The following is an 11,915-nucleotide window of genomic DNA, read 5'->3' on the forward strand; positions in this document are numbered from 1 at the left end:
TAACTGCGGGGCTCTACTTTTCTCACTATGCGGGTTGGGGGAGTGAGGGGTGCAGAGGCCCACACGGCTGGTCCAAGGGCTGGCAACCCAATCCAGAAAGAGAAAACCTTCAGAACATGCATGGCACTGAAGGATCTGTTTAATTAAAACTAAAATGAATGAGTGGTGAAGAGTGGAGAGGGTGAAGTGAATGCATGCATAGTGAGGGAGTGAGGATGAAGGCTTGCTTCCCTGAGACCTAGGAGCACTTCAGACCTGTGGGCTCAGCCAGCAATCACCTCCTTACCCGACTCACTGCCAGACCTAGGGTTGAGGAAGAGGAATAACTTGTCTGATCAGTCAAAGCCCCCATCTGATGCTGCAGCAGGGCCCTGGACAGACAGGAGGGCACATGAAGTGATTTCCTGCTGCCGTGGAAGCCTACATCCAGCTGGGTACAAATTCCGAGGCTGTGGGGCCCTTCCACAAAGCACAGTGGTGCTAAGAAGATGCAAAAAGCCTAATAGATAAAAAGACCCATGGCCCTATAACTCCCTAGATCCCCAGCCATGCCCCAAATAACTAACCACACCAAGGGTTTGATATGATTTTTTTATTAACATATAATAATATATTTAATAAAAAATAGTATCCACTCTGGCTCTCTCCTCCACTGCAAGGGGAAGAGTGGTGAGGAGGGGCTGGCACTGCCCACCCCTAGGCATCCGGAAAAGCCCTGCTTCCAGGGCTCCCCTCTACCCCTGCTTTCCAACAGGCTCTGACCTCCAGACAGACGGTTCAAAGTTACAAGTGCTTTAGGCCCTCCCTTGAGTTCCCCCAGGCCCATCCCTTGCGCAGAATTCAGGGGCCACCTGGACAAACCCCTTGCTTTTTCTCATTCTTGGCATCCTTCATTCATGCTAGAAAGAGGATCTGGGGACAGAGAGTAGAGTCTCTACCTGCCAGGGGGAAGGGAGGAAAGGAATGGTGGTGGGGGATGGGGCCAAGAAGAGGGATGGTGATGAGGTGCCCTCATTGGAGCCGGTCACTGCGGAATGACTCCTCCACAGCAGGATCAGGCAGCAGGGCACAGGGGTCACTCAGCATGTTTAGCCCTTCCAGGCCCAGTGGCTCCATGCGCAGCTCATCTTCTAGCCCAAGCCCTAGCTCCAATCCAGCTGCTGACACCTCAAAGCCAGGCACTCCGGCCAGGGCTGCTGCAATCTCCTTAGAGAAACCTGGAGAGGAGTCCCCTGTGGGTAGAAGAGACAGGTGAGGACCCCATGTCCTGTAAACTTTTCCAAGACCCCTCAATCTCCTACTCATTAGTGAATGTGTCACTTCCTCCTTCCATTTCCCATCACCACCCACCCCCATTCACCTGTGAGGATGATGTTAGGCCCTGAGCCATGGCGGGAACAGTGGGTCAAGTTCTGGTGGTTGAAGGTGTGGGGATCCTGGGGGCCACCCATTGGCCCCTCACCCCCTAAAAATCCAGGCCCTTCAGAAAAGCCAGGGGGATCCAGCACCAGGCTGGCTGATGGGCTCTCCATGCTGAACTGCTCCAGCTATAGACATACAGACAAATCTTTAGGAAGTAGGATTTAGAACTGGTGTCCTGCCTAGCCCTGCTAACATATCCCCTTTGCCCAGCAACCTTCATCCACCCCAGGAACAGAGGCAATGACAGAGGGAGGTGGCAGCAAGCAGAGCGACAGAAGCGAGCACGGGGCCCGAAGTAAGTATGGGCACCGTACCTGCTGGGCCAGAGCATGTGCATGCCAGGAAGAGAACGGGTCAAGGCAGAAGTCATCAAAGAGCAAGCTGAGCAGAAATAGAGGGGCAGGAGTAGGGTCAAACGCAGGAAGAGAGGAGCCCCAAGCTGGCAGTGCTATGTTACCTCCGGGGAGAGGAGATCTCCCCACCACCCACCCCACCTAGATCTCCCCATTCACAGTGCACCAGCCATGCCATTCAGGCCCCATTGACCCACCCTCACCCACTCCCCTGCTTTTGAGCAAGGAGCCTGAGTACTCACATTCCCCAGGTTGAAGTCACTCATTGGCCGGTGGTAAGACTGTTGCCCATGCCCACTGGGCCCAGGTGGGTACGGTGTCCCATAATGAGACTGCCTGCCTGGGGGCTGCCCACCTGAGGACTGCACTGAACAAGACTGAGAGGGCAGCCCTGGCTGCTGTAGAGACTTTGGGGTGTGGGGCTGGGTAGGCAGAACCAGACTTGGGGAGCTGTATGGGTATGGGGGTAACCGCTGGTCAGTGGACAGTTTACTGGTATCCAGGGGGACGCCCTGAAAAGAAGTAAAAAGAGGGAAGCTTACTGCTCAGTGTATACCCCAAGAACTCTCAGTCAGAGCTTCCCACCTTCTTTAGCTACAACCATTCCCAAAACAAACATGACAACATTCCACATTCTCACGGGCATCCCTGGGGTTGAGTGCAGTTACTCAACCCCAGGGATGTGTATTAGTTGGCAGGGTGTGGTGGCTCATGCCTGTAATCCCAGCACTTTGGGAGGCCCAAGGCAGGTGGATCACCTGAGGTCAGGAGTTCGAGACCAGCCTGGCCAACATGGTGAAACCCCGTCTCTACTAAAAATATAAAAATTAGCTGGGCATGGTAGCAGGCGTCTGTAGTCCCAGCTATTCGGGTGGCTGAGACAGGAGAATTGCTTGAACCCAGGAAGTGGGAGGTTGCAGTGAGCCAAGATCACACCACTGCACTTCAGCCTGGGCAACAGAGCGAGACTCCGTCTCCAAAAAAAAAAAAGTGCCTATCAGAATGAAAGTGATATAGTGAGGCTAACACAGGGGTAATTTTAAATCTACTCCAGAAGTAAACTATTCTCTTTTTTTGAGACAGGGCCTCACTCTGTTGCCCAGGCTGGAGTACAGTGGTGCAATCATAGTTGGAACTGTAGCATCAACCTTCCTGGTTCAAGTGATCCTCCCATCTCAGCCTCCCCAGTAGCCAGGACTACAAGCGTGCGCGACTGCACCTGGGTAATTTTTTATTTGTTGTAGAGACTGGGTCTCACCATATTGACCAGGCTAGTTTTGAACTCCCGCCTTGGCCTCCCAAAGTGCTGGGATTACAGGCATAAGCCACTGTGCCTAGCCTTAGAAGTAAACCATTCTTAAATCTTGATACTTGAACTATTTATTGTTAGTAAATAAGGAACTAAGGTTGAGAACTGCTGTTCTACAGCCTTGAAGAGGCCAGAGGGGGTGGGAAAAGAAAGAAAGAAAAGGAGAAAGAAAGGAAGGGAAGTCAAGCTCACTCCACACTCTGGGAACAGAGCCCTTGCTAATCTGGCCTCAGTCTTTCCTACAAAAGAGGGGACCTGAGTAAAGATGGAACACAGAACACACATTCCAGGGATAGCAATGGAGGAGGAAAAGTTGGGCAGAGGAGAGGGAAAAGAGCATTTGGATGAAAGAAAAGAGGAGTAGAGATAGAGAACAAGAAGAAAAGGACAGGAAGGGAGACAAGGGCTAAGAATTTCATCTCTGTGGAAAAAGCCCTAAACTAAGAGCTTCGAGTTCTAGTCTCAACTCTTCCTAACTTGCTGGGTAAACTTGGAAAAGTCACTTTCCCTCTAGGTCCCACTTTCCTCATCTATTAAGTGAAGGAATTGGGCTCCACAGTAGGAAATTGACTGATTCTACGAATTCTATGAAATTAGGAGGGGATACAGGGGAGGAGACGGGACAAGATAGAGGCATGAGATAAAAGACAGATATAAAACAGACAGGAACAGAGGAGGCAAATAAAAGGAAAGGGTAAGCTACTATTTGTCAAGCATACCTGGGCTATGTGTGGTGCTAAGTATTTTATGTATGTTACTTCATTTGATCCTTATGAACCATCCTTGTTTTAGAAATGAAAATACTGAGGCTTATAGAAATTAAATAACTTGTCCAAGGTGACTGCTAGTAAGAGGTGGAGCCAGGGTTTGAAGCTAAAAAAGCTTAACCACAGCGTTTGGGTTTGCACTGTGAAGCAAGAGGAGACAAGATGGATAAAAGATGGGGCAGGCGGAGGACAGAGGAATGGAAGGGGATGAGTATAGAGTAGGTATTTCAGGAAAGGAGGGTGGGAGGGAAACAACATGGCAGGAGAAAAGGGAAGGGAGACAGACATGCAGGGAAGGCAGCCACGCATACCTGAGTGATGGAAGACAAGGTGGGTGACATTGTTGGCGAAAACTGTTTGGGCAGCTGCTGTTGGGACCTTCTGGCGTCGGCTGGGCCCGCGAGCAAACTCAGGGGGCTGAGGGGCACACGGCGGTGGTGGGGGGAGGCCCCAGGGGTAGAAGCAGGGTAAGAGGGGGCGCCCAAAACAGGAGATGAAGTGGAGGAGGAGGAAGAGGAGGAGGAGAGAGCCGGAGCACTGAGTGAGGGGTGGCCCAGGGAGGTGGTGGGCAGTACATGGCGGGCCAAGGAGGAGGCAGGCAGAGAGGGGTGGCTGTGGGAGCCCTGAAGCTGGGGCTGAGGACTGCTCAGGGAAGCCTGGAGGTTGGGATTGCTTAGGGAGGACTGCAGGGATGGGTGGCTGAGAGGTGAATGAAGTCCTGCAGGCACAGACAAAAAACCAGAGATGCCAACATTACTGATGGGAACTGAGCCCCTTTCCACCCAGAATGGGTGGCAGTGACCAGACTATGAAAGCGGCAACACAACGTCCTCCCTACTCTATCCCTGACAGCACTGCCCATCTGGGGACTGCCCTTCCTCTTCTTTCTAGGAAACACCACACCTACCAGTTATCACTGGCTGAGAACTGCCGTGAGGGAATCCTGGGGTGCAGAGGTGACAGGCGGTGTGGGTGATCACAGCAGGATCTCAGGTGCTCAAACCTACCTCCCCTTCATCCCTCCAGTCAGGCAGCACCCAGTGGGCACATGGCCAGGACAGTCACTCACCTGGTGCATCATAGCCTGGGCCCAGGCCCATGCCCCTGCTGATGCCCAGGTGAGTCATGGTGTGGGTCAAATTGGAGGTACTGTTGCCCCCACTCAGGCTAGGGTAGGCTGTCTCTTCAGGGTCCAGGGGGGTGGGCAGTGGTGGGGGAAAGTGCAGGTTGGTGAGGTCAGGTAGGGAGCCCCCCGTGTTCATGGCAGGTGGGAGGACAGGCACATTGGCAGGCTGGTCAGGAGATGGAAAGATGCTAGGGGAAGGAGAGAAAAAGAAAGATGTAAATAGGAGGGTGGGTGCAGTGGTCAGGGAAGAGCAGAGATCAGTCTCCTACATCTCCCTGTACTTCCTTCCCCCACCTCTCAGCCAACCTCAGGGAGTACTTACTTAATTCCAGGGACTTCACAGGACCGAGGTCGGGAAGAGGATGAGGATAGCTGAGGAGAGAAGGGAGAATATGGAAAATGAGGACAGTGCTCAGCAGAGAACCCTGGAAGGCCTGCCCCATGGCAAGGGGATAGCAGAGAGACTAGTGGGTGACACCCGGTGGCCTCCTCCTACCTTCTTAGCATCCCATGGCTTCAGCAAATGCTTGTCATCTAGCAAGTTCTCCTCAATAGCAGGTACTTGAAAGAGAAAGACTGGTGATGGGAGAGTTGGAGAAAGAGCCAGTAAGGCAGGACAGGAAGCAGAAGCAGGTGGGAAGGAGTCCTGCTCCCTGAACCTGCACACAATCCCAACACCAGCCCAGAAATTCTTTGGCATTCAGTACCCACAGCAGTGAGGAACACATACCTTTGGGGTCCATTTCACCATCCAGAATACCTGCAAGGGATACAGTGGCATTGGCTGCAGTGCTCACTTGCCTACCTGCTTTAAATAGCTCCATGGAGGCCGGGTATGGTGGCTCATGCCTGTAATCCCAGCACTTTGGGAGGCCGAGGCAGGTGGATCACGAGGTCAGGAGTTCAAGACCAGCCTGGCCAAGATGGTGAAACCCCATCTCTACTAAAAACACAAAAAATTAGCCAGGCACAGTGGCAGATGCCTGTAATCCCAGCTACTCAGGAGGCTGAGGCAGGAGAATCGCTTGAACTCGGAGGGCGGAGGTTGCAGTGAGCCGAGATCACGCCACTGCACTCCAGCCTAGGCGACAGAGTGAGACTCCGTCTCAAAAAAGAAAGAAATAATAAATAAATAAATAAATAAATAAATAGCTCCATGGTTACTCCCAACCCTGGGACAGGGCCACTTACCCCCACGTCGGCTGGGCAGGATGCTGGGAGGTGTGGGGCCTGGGTAGGTATCCTGGGGACTGGGGTTCATCACACTTGTATGAAGGGCAGAGTCAGAGCTTGTCCTATGGGGGGAGCAGGAATGAGCTGACACCAGTGACAGTCTTCCTGGTCCCTAAGCCCTGCCCAGCAAGGGAAAACACTAGCTGGTCTGGAACAGGGTGGGGGTGAGGGAGCAGGGCCCCAGAAACTACAGATAAGAGATCTGGCCTAAAGAAGGCAAAAGCCATCACCTGTTAAGTGCAGATGGTAGTCGAAACAACTGCCCCTTCTCTGCAGGGAAATTGCCCCAGGCCATCGTCCTGGGGTAGAAAAACAAAGTCATGAGGAGGAAGGCTGGCAGTGGACAAGAAGGTGGGCATAGGGGTTGGAAAATGTGGGGCAGCTAAGGTGGAAGTAAAGATGGCTGAGCACCCAGATCATCCCCTTTTCTTTCTGGTTCTTCTCCTGCCTATGATTGACCCCTCCCCCAGTCAATCTAAGAGAGCTGGAAACTTCTCTCTGCCAGGACCAGCTGAATGGGAATCTTGGAGCCCAGCAGCATTCCTGGGTATGAGCATTGAAAGTGAGATGGACAAGGGGAGAGTTTAAGAAATCTAAAAGTGCCAGAACACTACATCTTGCACCCACCCTTGACAGAAGGTTGCCATTTTCACCTGCCCCTCTGCCATTCTCCCCTCCCCCTTACACACACACCCCAGCCTGGCTATGGTTCCCATTGGTTCTGCTCTGGCTGGACTGGGAGGCTTGACCACTAGTGTCAACATGGCCAAGGCTGGACTCTGACCCACCTACTCCAACTGTCTCCACCTCTCTCAGCCCTGGCGTTATAGGAAGAGGTACTGTTGAAACCTTAGCCCAGTAATCCCAGCCCCAACCCAGAAGGGGCAACTCCTTCCAGAAACACGTCAGAGAGTAGGCAGGAGCTTCTGCCCGCCCTGGACACTTACCTTCGCCAGCTAGACTCTGGGGGAGGAGATAAGTAGGCAGGACTATAGGGAGAGCTGTCAATGTGAACAGCACCAGTTAAGGAAAAAAGTAGAGAGGACAGATGAGAGAGGCCAAATGAGGAAAGAACAATGAAGGCAGCAGATAAGTTGTTTCAAGAAACTCATACCTTTCTCCTCTTCTATAAGGGACAACAATAGGATCAAAGAATGGAAGAGAAAAAGGGAATCAGGTCTAAAGGGGCTGAAAAAATCCAGGAGAATGTTCAGGCAGGGCTTGGAGGAGACAGTTATGCAGGTCTCTGAGACTGAAAACTTAGAAATCTGAGAAGAGACCCAATCTCCTTTAGCAGGAGACAAGGAAGGCTTGCCTCTGGCAGCAAGCTGATGTGAAGACAGCCAGAGCCAGCCAGAGACAGGGGGCACAGCCTCAGGAGCAAAACTCCTTGTCACAGGAGCAGGTGCTGACGCAGGGGCTATGGTCGCTTTTCAGGGAAGCTGGGTAAAGAAGAGCTCCAAGAGAAGGAAGGGACGCACAACACTTCAAGTGCTTCCTATGAGTCCCTGAGGAACCCCATCCCACTACCTTTCAGACACTCCCAAGTCCCCTGTGAAGGATATGTGGCGGGTGTATCGGCGAAGTGGGGACACCATTCTTCGAGGATCTCGCTGCACCCGTTCCACCAGCCCATGGTGCCGAGTGCTCCGAGATGAATCCAAAGGTGAGTGGAGGGGGCTCTGCCAAAAAGGACAGAAGTCAGCAGAGGAAGCAGCCTAAGAAACTCCACTCCTCCCTGGCTGGGGTCTACTCACCTGGAACTCGGCCAGGCCAGAGCCAATCTGGTTAACATTGGGCAGAGACCCACCATAATGAGAGCTCCTTGTGTATGCCAGTCGCAGTTTTTGGGCCTGTAACTGAGACATGGGGAACAAGTGGGAATGTCAGGAGGGTCCTGAGCACTATTTCCTTCAGCCATCCTTGCCATCTCTGTCACCAGGATATGCTGCTGCCGCCACTGCTTTTAAAATATCTAGGCCAGGCACAGTAGCTCACACCTGTAATCCCAGCACTTTGGGAGGCCGAGGCAGGCGGATCACAAGGTCAGGAGATCGACACCATCCTGGCTAACACCGTGAAACCCTGTCTCTACTAAAAATACAAAAAATTAGCCGGGCGTGGTGGCGGGCGCCTGTAGTCCCAGTTACTCGGGAGGCTGAGGCAGGAGAATGGCGTGAACCTGGGAGGTGGAGGTTGCAGTAAGCCGAGACTGTGCCACTGCACTGCAGCCTGGGCAACAGAGAGAGACTCTGTCTCAAAAAAAAAAAAAAAAAAAAAGGATCACTTCAGCCCAGGAAGTAGAGGCTGCAGTGAGACATGTTTATGTCACTCCACTCTAGCCGCCTGGGTGACAGACTGAGATCCTGTCTCCAAAAAAAAAAAAGTTAAAAAAAAAATAAAGAAATTATCTGCCAGAAAAAAAAGGCCAGTGTTGGGGTTTGAAAGGTCCACCGAGATTTGGTGCAAATAACCCACCAGAGCCCATCTGCAGACTGCCCTCATCAATGATATCACTACTGCTTGACATCATCCTGCCAGGCAGAGACAGATACTCTGCTGAGGGCCTGTCTCATTTGGCATCACTCTAAGCAGAGTCCCTGAGGGGCTGCCAGGAGCTCCCGGGCTACTCACAAGGGGGAGTGCCTATTAGGAACCTCTGCTTTCTTTCCAGATGCGTCCAGGACTAATTGAGAGATTAAGAGGAAGGCCACAGGTGGATGTCACAGAGCCATTACTGCCAGCCTCTTTCCTTCCCACTCTGGAGAGCACAGGCTTCTGGGCTCTGCCACTTGCCCAGCCTCAGGAAGGCTACACAAAGCCTGCACCTCCCAAACTAGAACATCCAAGGAATAGCAGCTCTCCTAGCTGGAAAAACAGCACCAAAACCAAGGGACATTCTTCCACTGAATCCTAAGGCTCTTGAATTGGCAGGGAAGCCTGGAGAAGGAGGGTGGACAGAGAGCAGCAGCCCACTCCAGCATGGGCCAGGGCCATCTTCCTGGTCTCATCCTCACTTTGGGGAGCTATGTCTGGCATAGGCGTAAGACAGCCTGGCATGGGTTTAGCCTGTGTACAGACATCCTGTCTCTGTGAGAGGTGAGCATCTATTTCCAAGGCTCAGCCCCTGCGACCAGCCAAATAAACAGGCCCAGGGCAAGGCCATGGGGAGGAGGGCAGCTGAGGAGGGGCAAGTTCTAAGAGCTTCCAGGGTCACACTCTTGTACAGAAGCCAACATCAGAACTGACATTCTGTTCCAGGAGGTCAGCCTAGTGAGCACTGTGCTGACCTCTGGACCACTTGAAGACCACTTGAGGTCTCATATATGGCAACCCCAGTATCTCAGTGGTATAGCCTCCCATGGCCATCTCTGTCTCAAATGAGCCCTCCCACCTGGCCAGATAACAGGCTGAGTCCCAGATCTCTTGTCCCTAGCTCTAGACTTTTGGGTCCCCTGGCCATGTATGCCCACTAGACTTTTCTGTGTAGCTGAGAAATTAACCAATAGGAGCAAGGTGGGTAGAAGGGGCCTTTTAAGAGATCGAGGCACCGTAAAGAGAAGCCCCAGCTTTTGAGTTTCGCACAGCCTTTCTTTGCACATACGAGCCCTAAGATCCCACCATGCCTCTGCTAGAATCACAGTCCTGAGGGCAGGGCCTCACGCTATCAAGATCAGCCTCCCATCTTCCTGTCTCTGTCCCCAACATGATGAAAAAGCTCCTAAAGGGGAGCAGTCTACAGTTAGATAATAATCCTCACAATGGTTACAGTGGGTTATGCACACACATGCATTTAAGTGTGCACATGCGTGCACAGACACCCTCCCAGATTTGCCTCCCCACCTAACTTCTGACTCCCACAAACTAGGGCACATAGTCCCTAGAGACTCAAAGGGGAAAGGACGAGAAAAAAAAAAAAGTAACAGAGTCAAGGGGGATACACACAAAAATACAACCAGAGTCACAGTCATAAATGCAACCACAGTCAGACCAGCAGAAAAAGGCTAGAGATGTTGTAGTAATGTTCCACCATCAATCCTTAAATTCCTTCTAGCTCTCTGCCATGAGGAATCATTGCAATATCCTTACCTACTGTTGTTTTAGAAGAATGTGTCCCTAAATTAAGACTGCATACCACCTAGGCGGACTCCTACCCCTTGGTCCCTCTGACCTCCAGCCTTGGAAAGCAAGAAACCAAGCCAGGGGGGCTTCAGAGGCAGCCTGGCAGAGGCCTGAAAGTTCTTTCAAGAACTCCTAGGAATGAATATTCTCAACACATAGAAGACCCTCCAAGGCACCCTACACACTAACCCACAAAGCAGCCAACTCCCTAGAAAGCTCAGCAAACCATAGAGTTCCACACAACTTATGGTCGGACGGTTACCCAGTTGTCGGATTCAAAACCCTACCTCTCCTCCAAGGAGGCCAGGACAAAACACCAAGCAATGGACCTCACCTTCATTCACGTCAGGAAACCACAAGAAGTATTTGAAAAAGGAAGCAAAAGGACGGGACGCAGGAGGGGACTTCCTGCCCCACTATACACAGCACCGCTCGTTCAAACCACTCAAGGGGCCCTTTCCCGGGGGCACCAAAGCGCAGAAGGCAGAGGGACCAGTTTGGAGGAGATCACAAACTCAGAGGAGCCAGGTTACAGACAAGCAGCCCTCCTCCCAGGCCATACCCCAATACCAGGCATGCTTCAGTAGCGTCCTCGAGGGGACTCCGTCAGGGATGCACAAGGACCACTCACCTCCTACCTCCGCCGGACTTCATCTCCCCTCTCCGCCCACTCCCACCTCACGTACTCGGCCCCCAGTCGCCTCTACACCCCGAACCTCTCCGGTGTTTCGGTCTCCCCCGGCAAAATCCTTCTTCCTGCCCCTCGGCCCTCAACCTGCGCCTCCCAAACGGCGGCGCCCGCGTCCCCTGCTCTGTTCCGCCTCCTTCGCTGCGGCGCCCGCCCCCGCCCCGCCTCTCCGGTCTCCGCTCCGTAACTGCTCAGCTCTGCTCCGGCTCCCCGGCGCGGCCCCTCACCCGGGTGGAGCCGATGTCCATCATCACCTCCTCGAAGGCCGCCGTCTCCTCGGCCTGACGCTGCTTCTGCAGCGCAATCTTCTCACTAAATTTGCGCGGATTGGAAGCCGAGGCCGTGGCCGAACCAGGCCCGTTCGCCCCCGACGTCGCCATCTTCCTTCCCCGTCCCTCCCTGCCACCCTCCCAGTACCAGCCGCGGCCTCCGCCGCGGCCTCGGCCCGGCTCCTCCAGCCGTAGCCACCGCCGCCTCAGCGAGCACCGCGAACCCGGCCCCAGCCTAGCCCTGACCTGTTGCGCGCGGGGGCCGCCGGGAATTGTAGTTTGTTTACGAGACTCCTTCACATCCCCAGTCACGCAGCACTAGGAGGAAACGGACTCCACTTCCCAGCAGCCCTGCTGACTCCGGAAACTGGGGACTTGGCTCCACCCTCTCGGCTACTCCCTGAGAGGTGCAAGCTGGGAAGAGTAGTTCTAAATTAGCCCTGAGACTACGAACGGAAAGGAGAGAGGGATTGAAGAGAGAAGAAAGGAAGAGGGAGGGGAGGGAAGAGAAGGGAAGCCGAGGGGTGGAGACCGGGAAAGAAGTACCAAGACACAAAGGAGGAAAAATTAGGTCATCTTCAGGGAAGGGGACTATCGGGTCCTGAGTGAAAACAGTGAGACCAAGA

At 53.2% G+C, this 11,915-nt stretch overlaps 1 protein-coding gene across 9 annotated transcripts, besides 6 other annotated features; it reads right to left on the reverse strand.

Annotated features, from left to right (window-relative positions):
• Window positions 123–192: an enhancer, noted in NCBI's record as "active region_1758". NCBI's record gives its function as "activates an Ori minimal core promoter by ATAC-STARR-seq in GM12878 lymphoblastoid cells {active_cell/tissue: GM12878}" and the evidence as "EXISTENCE:reporter gene assay evidence [ECO:0000049][PMID:35858748]".
• On the reverse strand, window positions 578–11,515 carry CRTC2 (CREB regulated transcription coactivator 2). 9 transcript variants are annotated; one of them, NM_181715.3, is made up of 14 exons: window positions 11,248–11,515; window positions 7,968–8,069; window positions 7,776–7,892; window positions 7,158–7,219; window positions 6,441–6,509; window positions 6,169–6,272; window positions 5,708–5,737; window positions 5,474–5,538; window positions 5,300–5,349; window positions 4,921–5,165; window positions 4,163–4,569; window positions 2,018–2,287; window positions 1,361–1,547; window positions 578–1,232 (listed from the first exon to the last, which is right to left on the reverse strand). In NM_181715.3, exons 1-14 carry the CDS (start codon window positions 11,398–11,400, stop codon window positions 1,012–1,014), a joined length of 2,082 nt encoding a protein of 693 aa, NP_859066.1. In that variant the 5' UTR covers window positions 11,401–11,515; the 3' UTR covers window positions 578–1,011. The 9 variants fall into 9 exon arrangements, 8 of the variants coding, with proteins under 8 accessions (NP_859066.1, XP_005245003.1, XP_016856066.1 ...); XM_005244946.2 differs by having other exon boundaries at window positions 5,474–5,553; XR_007095721.1 differs by lacking the exon at window positions 578–1,232 and adding an exon at window positions 1,737–1,803 and having other exon boundaries at window positions 1,446–1,547; window positions 5,474–5,553.
• Window positions 10,595–10,644: an enhancer, noted in NCBI's record as "active region_1759". NCBI's record gives its function as "activates an Ori minimal core promoter by ATAC-STARR-seq in GM12878 lymphoblastoid cells {active_cell/tissue: GM12878}" and the evidence as "EXISTENCE:reporter gene assay evidence [ECO:0000049][PMID:35858748]".
• Window positions 10,705–10,924: an enhancer, noted in NCBI's record as "active region_1760". NCBI's record gives its function as "activates an Ori minimal core promoter by ATAC-STARR-seq in GM12878 lymphoblastoid cells {active_cell/tissue: GM12878}" and the evidence as "EXISTENCE:reporter gene assay evidence [ECO:0000049][PMID:35858748]".
• Window positions 10,935–10,984: an enhancer, noted in NCBI's record as "active region_1761". NCBI's record gives its function as "activates an Ori minimal core promoter by ATAC-STARR-seq in GM12878 lymphoblastoid cells {active_cell/tissue: GM12878}" and the evidence as "EXISTENCE:reporter gene assay evidence [ECO:0000049][PMID:35858748]".
• Window positions 11,145–11,294: a silencer, noted in NCBI's record as "silent region_1347". NCBI's record gives its function as "represses an Ori minimal core promoter by ATAC-STARR-seq in GM12878 lymphoblastoid cells {active_cell/tissue: GM12878}" and the evidence as "EXISTENCE:reporter gene assay evidence [ECO:0000049][PMID:35858748]".
• Window positions 11,545–11,744: an enhancer, noted in NCBI's record as "active region_1762". NCBI's record gives its function as "activates an Ori minimal core promoter by ATAC-STARR-seq in GM12878 lymphoblastoid cells {active_cell/tissue: GM12878}" and the evidence as "EXISTENCE:reporter gene assay evidence [ECO:0000049][PMID:35858748]".

The sequence above is a fragment of the Homo sapiens genome, chromosome 1 (genome assembly GCF_000001405.40).
Source record: "Homo sapiens chromosome 1, GRCh38.p14 Primary Assembly".
Classification (NCBI taxonomy): domain Eukaryota; kingdom Metazoa; phylum Chordata; class Mammalia; order Primates; family Hominidae; genus Homo; species Homo sapiens.

Bases quoted from the DNA above. Each gene is read 5' to 3' on its own strand.
- CRTC2 (XM_005244946.2), bottom strand. From the start codon at position 11,400: ATGGCGACGTCGGGGGCGAACGGGCCTGGTTCGGCCACGGCCTCGGCT. The intron at 7,893-7,967 runs GTGAGTAGACCC...CCTTTTTGGCAG, and splicing joins CTGGCCTGGCCGAGTTCCAG to AGCCCCCTCCACTCACCTTT. The intron at 4,570-4,920 runs GTGAGTGACTGT...CTGTGCCTGCAG, and splicing joins CCCAGGCTATGATGCACCAG to GACTTCATTCACCTCTCAGC.